General features: G+C 41.1%; 1 long non-coding RNA gene across 1 annotated transcript in view; it reads left to right on the forward strand.

The window, feature by feature from the left end:
- The window catches only part of LOC107985398 (uncharacterized), a 29,940-nt gene extending 20,194 nt beyond the window's left edge, over nt 1-9,746 (forward strand). Inside the window, exon 2 of the long non-coding RNA XR_001754497.2 lies at nt 7,811-9,746. This is a non-coding gene — a long non-coding RNA (uncharacterized LOC107985398). The remainder of the gene's footprint in view (nt 1-7,810) is intronic.
- Nucleotides 9,747-12,042: the final 2,296 nt, after the last annotated feature.

Here is a 12,042-nt window from a genome sequence, read left to right on the forward strand (position 1 = left end):
CTGATATATAAATTACTTACAGTGAAATCCACAAATCTTAAGTGTGATTTCAATTATTTTTGACAAACGCATATGCACATGTAACCCACAAAGCAATTCCATCACTCTGGAAAGTTCTTTTGGGTTTCTCATTGGACAGTCTCCCTCCCCTTGCCAGAAGAAATTACTATTTTGATTTCCATCATGATAGATTCATTCGACCTCCTTTAGAGCTTCATACAATTGGAATTATGTGGTGTAAAATCTTTACATCCAACTTCTTTAACTCGACATACTGTTTCTGAGATCCATCCATTTGTGTTGTTGCATGTATCAATAATTTATTGCTTTTTATTGTTGAATATTATTCCATTGTATGAATATACCACAGTTTGTTTTTCCATTGTCCTGTGGGTGCATACCTTGGATGTTTCCAGTGTTTAGCTATTATAAACACTGCTATGTTTATAAAGCTGCTATGAACATTTTTGTTTAAGTCTTTTTATAAGCTGGGATAAATACCCAGGAATGGAACTGATGGGTCACAGGGTAAATGCATGTTTACATTTTAAAGAAAGTGTCTTTTTTCCCCCTATATTTTTATTTATTTATTTATTTTGTTATACTTTAAGTTCTAGGGTACATGTGCACAACGTGCAAGTTTATTACATAGGTATACATGTGCCATGTTCGTTTGCTGCACCCATCAACTCGTCATTTACATTAGGTATTTCTCCTAATGCTATCCCTCCCCCAGTCCCTTACCACCTGACAGGCCCTGGTGTGTGATATTCCCCACCCTGTGTCCAAGTGTTCTCATTGTTCAATTCCCACCTATGAGTGAGAACATGTGGTGTTTGGTTTTCTGTCCTTGTGATAGTTTGCTGAGAATGATGGTTTCCAGCTTCATTCATGTCCCTGCAAAGGACATGAACTCACCCTTTTTTATGGCTGCATAGTATTCCATGGTGTATAGGTGCCACGTTTTCTTAATCCAGTCTATCACTGATGGACATTTGGGTTGGTTCCCAGTCTTTGCTATTGTGAATAGTGCCACATAATTTCCAAAGTGTTGGTATCATTTATACTTTCATCATCAATGTATGAAAGTTCCATTTGGTCTACAGCCTCACCAACTTTTGGTGTCATTGATATTTTTCATTTTAGCCATGCTAATAGGTGTGAAATAGCATTTCATTGTGGTTTTAATTTGCATTTCCTTGATCGTAATAATATTGAGCACTTTTTCATGTGCTTATTGGTCATATATATATGACCTTTATATATAAGGTGTCTGTCAAGTCTTCTGTTCATTTCAAAAATTGGTTTGCTTATCTTTTTACTATAGAGTTGTAGGAATTCTTTATATGTTCTGGATGGACGTTCTTTCTATAGAATTGTAGGAATTCTTTATATGTTCTGGATAGACATTCTTTCTCAAATATAGTTATCTCCTAATCTGTTCCTTGTCTATTCTCTTAGATGTATTTTGATAAGCAGAGAATTTTAATTTTAATTTTAATGAGGTCCAATTTACCATTTTTTCTTTTATATTTAGTGCCCTCTGGGCCCTTTCTAAGAAATCTTTGCTTACTCCAAATTCAGGAAGATGTTATTCTATGTTCTTTTCTAGAAGCATTATACATTAGATGGTCTAGTCAATTCTTAATAAGCCAAGCAAAATAAGAAACCCAAACAACAGCTTAACTAAGCAACCAATCCTTAAAAGAACCAATGAACCCACTCACCAACCAACCAATGAACCAACTGGGCAATCAATCAATCAGAAGAATTTGTTCCAATGCCTTTCAGCGGGGTAAGTAGCATGCTGTAACTTGTATGTTTGGAACAGATCCACAAAGTGTGTCTGAATTCCATGGTTTGGCAGATGACTGACTAATCCACAGAATTTCTACCCGTTGAGGGTTTGCCAGCAGAGTCCCTGGGTTACTACTTTTATCTGAGCTGGCTAAACTCTTAGTGGTCATTCTGAATGAGCAGTCAAAGCTGACCGAAACTGCTCTGTGTGTGTTGGGGGAGGGGGGTGGTGGGGCTGGGGGATGACAGGGTGGAGCAGGTGTGCATTGCTTTCTTCCTAGTACTTGGAAGATAGTTATCATTGGAAGGATTTTTATATATGATGTCTGAGTCTCATTTAAGTGATTCTATAACTATTGTGCTTCAGGGAGGGTGTTGTGTGTTGAGGAGGCTTCTGCGGGCTGGGCAGGACACCAATCCTCTGTGTATATGGCTCCTGTGTACTTGCAAATGAATCCAGCTTGTGGAAAATGAAGGGACCTCTTGACTGCAGTATTCTTTGCCCTGTCACAGGTCCTGAGACATGAGTCTTGACCTTGGAGAATTTCTAGACTCGCTCTGTATGTGTGCCCTCTCCCTTCCCTAATCCCAGGCATCTTGGGTTTGGCTGGTCTTGGCTACATATCTAGTTAAGTGTCAGCACTGGTATTGTACCAGCCTAGCTGCTTGGGTCAGCACCTTAGGCACAGCCCAGAGAGTCACCTTAGTATTTAATTTACCTCTCTTTGCCAGTGGTGTGGTGTAAATGATTAATGTCCTGTATTTCATAATTGAAGATAATACTGTTCCAGATAATTTATTTTATTTTAAGTTTACAGTTTCTTCTTGCTGTGCTTGTGGACTTATGCAGTTAGATTCTGTCATTTAGTTATTAGACATCACAGAAAAAGCTTCAGCATTTTTTGAGTTATCCTTTTTTTAAAAAAAGAAATGAAAACACATCTCTGGAGAGCTTCAGTGATTCATAGGAGTCATCCTACTAGGTAGTGTCAGTGGCTGGATGACTGGGACTGAAGCCTCCTGCCTTCTAGACCAAGATTTATGTATTTTATGTATATGGTCTTTGTGCAAATACAGAGGCTGGGAGGGCTATGCGTTATGATGATTGGTTTTTTTAAATCCCACTGATAATCTGTGGCCATAAAGAGTGATACTTGAAGCCGAGGGTTTTGTATCTCAGTTGGATGGTTTGGTGAGAAGATAATTTAACACTGTTAGACACTGCTAAAATTTCTGTGGCCAACAAATTTGGTATCCATCTGTTCACTTCAAACGTGTTATTTCTTTCTTTGTGGCTTCCGTATTTGATAGACCTAAACTCTGACTCCTTAGCATTTCAGCTTTAAGGTAAAAGAGGAGAGAGGGAGCTAACCACCACCCTGCCTCTGGGTCTCAGGAGACCCTTCTGTTGATGTCTGTGAGAGTGAATATGTGTATGTGAGGAGAGAAGTGGCCTTCGGGTTCTGAGTCTGCTGGCTATAGTAGAAGTTGACCTTGACTATGAAATGGAGAATTTAAAAACAGCTTTACCCAAGGGCCCAAAGCTAATGATTCCGAAGTGTTGACTAAGGTATCGGAGTAAACAATAGCAGGCTTTCATAGTGTTTACTTAGCTCTGCAGCTTACAAAGGAATTGTGTGGGCTTTCGTCCACACCACGTTGCTGGCTTATATCACAACTGTTCGTTTTGAAACAACTTAAATGATTTTGACCTTTTGTTTAGGTTGTGGGTCAGTGCAGAAAGGAAGTTTTCTATAAACTACCATGATGTTTTTCTCAAATTGGAATGGGCATGTCTTTGATTAGAACTCATTTCATATGTAGGAATGGCATCCGCAGACTGGATAGAGTGTTGAACGAGAGGGGCATGTGCCTTCAACTTGTCAGTTGCTCACACTCCTTATTTTGCTTAATCAAAAGCATGGCAGAAGATGTGAGGTGTTTATCTATAATTTAAATCATCTGAGTGAAGCACATCTTACTTCAATGTGCCTATTCTATTGCATTTTCATAAGCAACATGAGGCCCACTGGTCTTACACTTGAAGACTGCTGTAGTATTTTCTCAAATAGAGACATTTTATCAAACTTCATCAAACAAGGTCATTTTGAACTCCTAATTGCACATGGTATCATTTTTAAAGAGGTTTGTACTATATTAAAACATAATTACCCACAAGGGCTCTCTGCCTAGAGCTAATACGTGAAAACTGATATAAAAAGTAGCATACTGAATATGCTAGATGTTATTTTTCTTCATTTTCCTAAATTGTTTTTTAGATGTGAGGGAGAAAAATGCCAATATACTTTATCAGTCCAGTTTGACTAATATTGAGCCTCAAGTTCAATAGGCATAAGGAATGTAAATTAGGCTCAAGCAATGTAAATTAGTGGGCCTTGTGGACCTCAGTGCAATGGGATAACCTTAAAACTCAAAGCCCTTGGGACACAATCTATAAAGTGGTCTACATCAAAATAGTAATGTTGGAGTTTGTAATCTTGATGGTCCTTCTCTGGTGACAGCCACACTAACCTCTGTTTTTCCCTATCCAACAATTAATTTTGACTAAGGATTATTGATTAAAAAATGCTTAAAAAGCATTTAAAAAGGGAGGCCACATATATGCTACTAAATGTGTTCAGTAACTCCATCCTTTCCAATAGCAGAGCTGAGATGAAGCCCCAAGCTTTCCAATCCTGCTCCTGGCCTTGTGTCAGCTGGCCACATAAGGGGACAACACCTGCCTCAAGTGGGCTGTCAAGTGTTTCTACTCTGAGCTAAATGGCAACCCTCCTCTGAGCCCTTCCACTGTGTTCACACCTTATCATGGTCATCTAAGTTCATTCCCGCCCCCACTTCATCCTGCTACCACACAGATCATTAGATACCAAGAAGTTGCCACTATGGAATTTCTCCTGCGACTCCCCACATTCCACAGGTTTTCTGACCTTTTCTCAATGCAATTCACCTATCCTGTGTCCTGTTCCCCCAGAGCCAACCTCGATGGCTTGAAAAGTGAAAAGGAGCTAACAACAAGGATTTGTCATGGTGTCATGCATGTCTGAGCCCCTCCTGGAGAGCAGAGGCCTTTCTTACATGCATTGGGTCAAAGCAGGGATGATGGGAATTTGGGGTGACAGTTTATGTCAGAGGAGATGCATGTGAACAGAGAGACTTTTCTTTGTGCACCTCCTATCAATATGGATGGGCAATGGATTGCAATGTGGCAAACAAGCAGGGGAACCAGGAGTCTGTCTCAAGTCCCACAGCTTGGCCATCATGTCACTTTCTCTCTCTCATGCAATTTCTCTGCATTAGTTTCCCAGGGCTGCCATGCTAATTTCCATAGCCTGGGTGACTTAAAACAACACAAATCTATTTTCTTACAGTTCAAGAGGATAGAAGTCTGAGATCAAAGTGTGAGTAGGGCCATTTTTCCCTCGGAAGACTTCAGGGAAAAACCCATCCTTGCTTCTTCTTAGCTTCTCGTGGTTGCTGGGAATTCCTGGTATTCCTTGGCTTGCAGCTGTATGACTCCAATTGCTCCAATTTCTTCCTTTATTGTCACACGGCTGTTTTCCCTCTGTATGGGTTACTGTCTCCAAATTTCTCTCTTCTTATAAGGACATCAGTCTTTGGATTAGAGCCCAACTTAATCCAGTGTGACTCCATTTTAAATCAATTATATCTGCAAAGATCTAATTTTCAAATGAGGTCACAGTCACAAGTATTGGGGGTTAGGACTTTTGGGGGACATAACCCACAATGTCCTCTGAATATATATATATATATCCTCCCATATATATATATATATATATATATCCTCCCATATATATATATATATATATATATATCCTCCCATATATATATATATATATATATCCTCCCATATATATATATATATATGTCCTCCCATATATATATATATATCCTCCCATATATATATATATCCTCCCATATATATATCTATCCTCCCATATATATATATATATATATATTTTCAATGTATCCCTTTATTCAAGTGATTTTAAGCAATGAAAGCAAGACAGCTGTTATAGGATTTACCTTTCTAGATGGAAAAGGACAAGTAAATAAGGTCTTAAGCTCCATGTCAAGAAAGGGGCACAACAGAACAAATTCTGCCTTGGTGGGCATCAGTCTTCTCTTTCTGCTGTGCAAGCTCCTGGTTCTGTCTTCTCTGTGCTGTGCCTTGTTCTGTGTGATCACAATCCAGCAGTCAAAGAGGCACACTGGGCTTCTTCATTCTCAGCTGAATCCCTCGTTGCCACTTCTGCCTATATGGGCAGGCTTAACGGGGGTGACACTCCCGTGTTCCTTTTGTCAAACATCCTTTCTTCTCCCTACCATACCACTGATCCACATTCTTCCAATCTTTTCTTGAGGTCTCAGACATCTTAAAAAGTCCTTACCTTCCAAATGTATTCCCACATTGACTCTTTCTCTTCCTTTCCACCCTTTACCCTAGTCCAGGCCACCAGCACTTCTTGCCTGTCCTGCTGGCAGTAGTTGTCCAATGGGCCTGCCTGCTCTCCTGGTCTTCCCCCTCTGCCACAAACTCACCCTAAGCAGCCAGGGCGATCCTTCTAGAAGAGACACTGTACTATGTTTTTCCACTTCTCTGGACCATCAAGGGACTTTGCAAAGCATTGATATAAACCCCAAAATTCTCCCATGGTCTACAAATCCCTTGGGGATCATGACCTGCCTGAGGACTACCTCTGACATGTCATCTCCTACTACTCACCCCTTTGCTCATCCATACATACACCCTGGCCTCTGGCCTCTTCTCAAACATGCCAAGCATGCATCTAACTGCACACCTTTGCACTTGCTATTTTCTCTGCCTAGAATATTCTTCGGCAGTGAAGTCAAATGGCTCAGTCTCTTGCTTCATTCACCCTGTTCAGTTATCACCTCTTTCCCTAGTCTCTTTCTCTTACCTGGTTTTAGTTTTCTGTATGGCGCTTACTATTATCTGGTCTTATAGGTATATTTGTACTTGTGGGCACCTTGATATAATCCCTGTAAAATATAAGGGTTCTTCATTTGGGGTCCATAGATCTCTACAAAGTGTGAGTAGAATTCAGGGGGGCTAAGGTAGGCTTAAAAATGACTCTTCCAAGATGTGCTCACGTCCTAATCCTCGGAACCTGTTCACGTTGCCTTATATGGAGAAATATGGGAAAAAGTTAAACATCTTTGGAGCACCAGCTTATCCTGGATTATTTGGGTGGGCTTTAAATGCCATCACAAGTGTCCTCATGAGATAGGGAGAGAAAGATTAGGCACACATACACATGTGCACACATGTGTGCACACACTGACACACAAAAAAGAAGGTGATGTGAAATTGGAGGCAGAGACCAGAGAGATGTGGCTATAAACCAAGGAATGCCTGCCTGCAGCCCCCAGAAGCTGTGAGAGGCGGGAAGCAGATTCTCTTCTGGCATCTCTGGAGGGAAGAAAGTCATGCTAACACATTGATTTTGAACTCCCAGCCTCCAGAACTGTGAGAGAATAAATCTCTATTATCTTAAGCCACCAAGTTTATGGTAACTTTTTATGGCAGCCACAGAAAATTAACACAGGGTCTGTGAACATGGATGGAAAAAGTTATATCTTTATTTTAAGGTATCTCTAATTGAAACTTAGCATGTCCTTCAATCATGAATGCAAGAAACAAAATGTAGTTTTAGTGGGATCTGTGATTTTGTCACCAATTGAAATCACAGATCCTTGCGTATCATAGGACAGACATTACAGAGACCTTGAAATATCATTGACACTTCTTGATACTTTGAAATTGCAGTAGTTATTAAGCCTATGCAATTTCCAGATTATTAAGCCTGGATCTAGTCATTACAAAGTGTTAATAAAGGTATACATTAACACTAAACTACAATTTTGGTTTTAAGTAGTTTGAGAAGTATTTTAAAAATATAATTGGTTACCTTTGTATTCTTATCTATTTTGTTTTTTATATCCAAAACAGTCTGACGAAAGGCCCATAGGTTTCATCAAAGAAAGTCAGGACTATCTGGAATGGATAATTGGTCCCAAATAGTGGAAGAAAGAAAGAAAGAAAGAAAGAAAGAAGAAAGAAAGAAAACAACATGAATAATTCTAGTAAAATGTGCTCATATTAAAGAGGGAAATTAAGGCCCAGAGAACTGAAATTGTCTGCGGTTATAGCAGCAGAGAAAAGACTTAAAGCCATATCCTCTAGGGACCACTTTTGCTTGTATTGTATACTTCAAGATCAGTTCAGGTCCTGCTTCCTCTAGAAAACCTTGTGGAGAAACTTCACTCTCTACAGTTCAATCCCCTGCCTTGCTTTACCTGTTACCCCTTCTATACATCTTATCACTTGATTCCACTGAAGGCAGCCCTTTTGACATTCCATTTTGTGGTGTTCCCATCTGAGCTCAATGCCTGGTATATAAAAAATAAGTGCTTGTTGAGAAGTGAAAAGCAAATGTCTTCCAATTTTTAATACATGTGAGTATCACCTCCTGAACAAAAGGAAAGGCACCTGCCTTTGTTTTTTGTTTGCGTTTATACAATTTATAAATGCACCACAGGCACATAGTAGGTGTTCAATGAAGATGTATTCAATATAATTGAATTTCCTGGTAGCTGAACAACTAGGCAGATGGGTGGAGAGATATAAATTAGTAAAGCAGATTTAAACCATGTGTTGATCATTGAAAAGTTGTTTCATTTTCAGCCAAGATAAATGCTTTTTTAATGTGTAAAGAAATCTATAATTTTCTATGCTTTGAATTAAAGCTCCCACTTCCCAGGTTTCCTGCCTGCTTCTGGCTGCTCTTAATGAGCTAATTTACCCCACCGAGGTGAGAGATTTCCTCTTGGGAAAGGGTTTAGATGTGCCTCTCTCATATCCAGGGCCCCAGAGCGTTTCCTTACAGGGCTTTAAACACTCTGCCCGTATTTAAGAGAGAAGCCAAGGAACAAATCTGTTGTTTTAGCTTTATTCCTTGAGGCTCAGCGGCTCGACTTTCCTTCCCCTTTGATCGCTCTCACTGGAGTGGCAGGCCTGGAAACTGCGGAGAAGGGGTAGGTCTCCTTAGGAAGCCCAGTTCAGGGGACCCACCCAGCTCCACACAATGAAAATAAAGTTGTCAAGCCTTTGAGGTGGCTGTGAAGATTTATTCTTCCTGGGCAAATTGGTGAGACATTTATATTTTTAAAAAATGCTTTGATGAACTTGATAAGGAAGCCCTCGTTTGAATGTGGAAAAACATTCTAGAGCTTTTTCCACTGCTACACAGGGTTTTTAGCTTTAACCTGTGAAAATGGACTGGGTTTTGACCTGGGTTTTAGCTTGACCTGTGGAAATGGACTTGCCCTTCAGATGAATGACGAGACTGTAAGGGGTTCATTTGGGGATTGCAGGACACAGGTTTACCCTGTCTTAGAATATAAGCATCCATGAGGCAGGAGGTCTTAAAAACCTTTTGCAGATCTTGACATCTTATCTACACATTTCCTAGTCCTCAGCTGCCAACCAAAATCTCCCAATTGCTCTATTACAGCTCAATGACTTACATCACCAAGTATGGTTCCATTACTTCTACCAGCTGAAGCAATGGAATATGCAATATTTTATTATGCATATAATTGAAATACTTTCTGTTCTTTCTAAGTTCGAATATTGTTTGTGTCACATATTGTTCTGAGCATGCCTTGGTCACAGTCAGGTCTCGAGGGACCTAGGGAAGGAAGTGGAAGCTGGTGTGAAATATCCTTCTCTTGCATTCCAGAAAGTCATTTTAGCCAGGAACATCTGCCAACAGCTCTGAGATGGTGCTCTTAACATCCCTGTGTTATGCAGACCATTATGAATGGCTCTGAAAAGACTGAGTGCTCGGCCAAAAAAAAAAAAAAAAAAAAAAAGAAGACATGGACACATTTATCAGCTCTTAGTGGTGGAAATTCTGCAATCATTGGAGGATTTTCTTGGAAAAATCAGAGAACTGTCCTTGAATTCTGTTATCGGGGTAACTCTGTCTTGGGCTGCAACAGGCACTGTGCTCTGTGGAGAGCCCATGGGCTTGTGACAGATGGAACCAGGTTTAGATTCCTTTGTGGGAACTTATTTTCTGTGTCACCTAGGGTATATTCTTAATTCTTCTTTTTCAATTAGCTCAACTGTAGTATCAAAGTAATTGCACTTTGCTGGTTGCAACCTTTCAGGTTGTAAGGATCAAAGGCAGGCTCAGGTTACCCTGGAGATCAGGGATTACTAAAAGGAATGCAGGCACTTAAGGAAACGTAGCAAGTGATCACTACACAGGATGCAGCAGAACCTTCCTAAGAAGCTCTGCCACCATATTCATGGTAGAGTTTCTTCCTGTCTCATCTTCCCTCTTTATGTCTGTTTCTACTCTGCCAACACAGCTTTTTTTTTTTTTTTTTTTTTTTTTTTGAGATCCACCATACCTAAAATCCCTGTATCAGTCAGTCAAGCTTCCATCATGTAAGACCTGTTTCACTGAAAGGGTTCACTAACAAGAGTGGCAGGAAGGGATTATTTACAAAACTATGGTCGGAATTAAGGGAACCAACTAGGGATGGTGAAGCACCCAGCGTCCAGCAGAAGTGGGAAGCCATTACCACCTGTAGGGCTGGAGAAAAGAGCTGCTACTAAAATGCCAGAGAGTTGTAGCCAAGGTGGGGATGCTGATTAATAGAGGCTGTGGACCCTGCCAAAACCATGGCCACATGGTAAGGGACAGATGAAGAATACATACCCCAACTTCTCTCTCCTTCATCATCTGATCGCCTTCCAATGCTTCCCATTGGCCACACCTAATGGGAACAAGACAGCACAGGCAATGCAGTTTATAGAGCTCAGCCTTCAGGGTACATAGCAGGGCAGAGAAGAGTGGAGAATGGATCTGAAGGGGCAGGTGGAGCTTACCAAGGACAGTCCCTTACTGAGCAACATAGCTGTGTTTAATGTCATATGACCCTATTGGCCTTGCCTTTGCAGATGGTTCCAGGGATCCTGAATCAAATGCAACCATCCATGGGCTGAGCTAGCTCTGAGGAAGCCTAAAATGAGCACTCTAACCAGTGGAGGGTCCCTAATGGGTGGTCACCTCCTGACTCAATGGTATTCTCTCTGTTGGTGAGGTTTAAATGAAAGACAGAGACAGGGAAAGAGTGGTAGAAAGAAGAAAAAAGCCATGTTGGGCCGGGCGCAGTGGCTCACGTCTGTAATCCCAGCACTTTGGGAGGCTGAGGCTGGCGGATCACGAGGTCAGGAGGCCGAGACCATCCTGGCTAACACGGTGAAACCCCGTCTCTACTAAAATTACAAAAAATTAGCTGGGCATGGTGGTGGGCACCTGTAGTCCCAGCTACTCGGGAGGCTGAGGCAGGAGAATGGTGTGAACCCGGGAGGCGGAGCTTGCAGTGAGCCGAGATCGCGCCTCTGCACTCCAGCCTGGGCGACAGACTGCATTGCCTGTGCTGTCTTGTTCCCATTAGGTGTGGCCAATGGGAAGCATTGGAAGGCGATCAGATGATGAAGGAGAGAGAAGTTGGGGTATGTATTCTTCATCTGTCCCTTACCATGTGGCCATGGTTTTGGCAGGGTCCACAGCCTCTATTAATCAGCATCCCCACCTTGGCTACAACTCTCTGGCATTTTAGTAGCAGCTCTTTTCTCCAGCCCTACAGGTGGTAATGGCTTCCCACTTCTGCTGGACGCTGGGTGCTTCACCATCCCTAGTTGGTTCCCTTAATTCCGACCATAGTTTTGTAAATAATCCCTTCCTGCCACTCTTGTTAGTGAACCCTTTCAGTGAAACAGGTCTTACATGATGGAAGCTTGACTGACTGATACAGGGATTTTAGGTATGGTGGATCTCAACATATATCATGCATGGGCTATCCAGGACAAACACTCAACTTCAGGGGTAGTTGTAAGAATTGAGTTTATGTTCCTAAGGACCTGATGCATCAGGGGACTCAACAACTAGCAGCTGCTGTCATCATTACTTTTGCCATGTCTCTGTGGAAGAAGCTAATCAAAATTATGTGTTTCAGAGACATAAAGTCTTCACACATGTCCCATCTAGTTTCTTCAGTGACTTGAAAGTAGTCACTTCCAAAATAATGGGAATGATGTTTGTACACTCATCGGTGGCCCGATTCTCAAATGAAATGATGTTTAATTTTCTGGAGCAAATTCAG

Source organism: Homo sapiens, chromosome 20 (genome assembly GCF_000001405.40).
Source record: "Homo sapiens chromosome 20, GRCh38.p14 Primary Assembly".
NCBI lineage: Eukaryota > Metazoa > Chordata > Mammalia > Primates > Hominidae > Homo > Homo sapiens.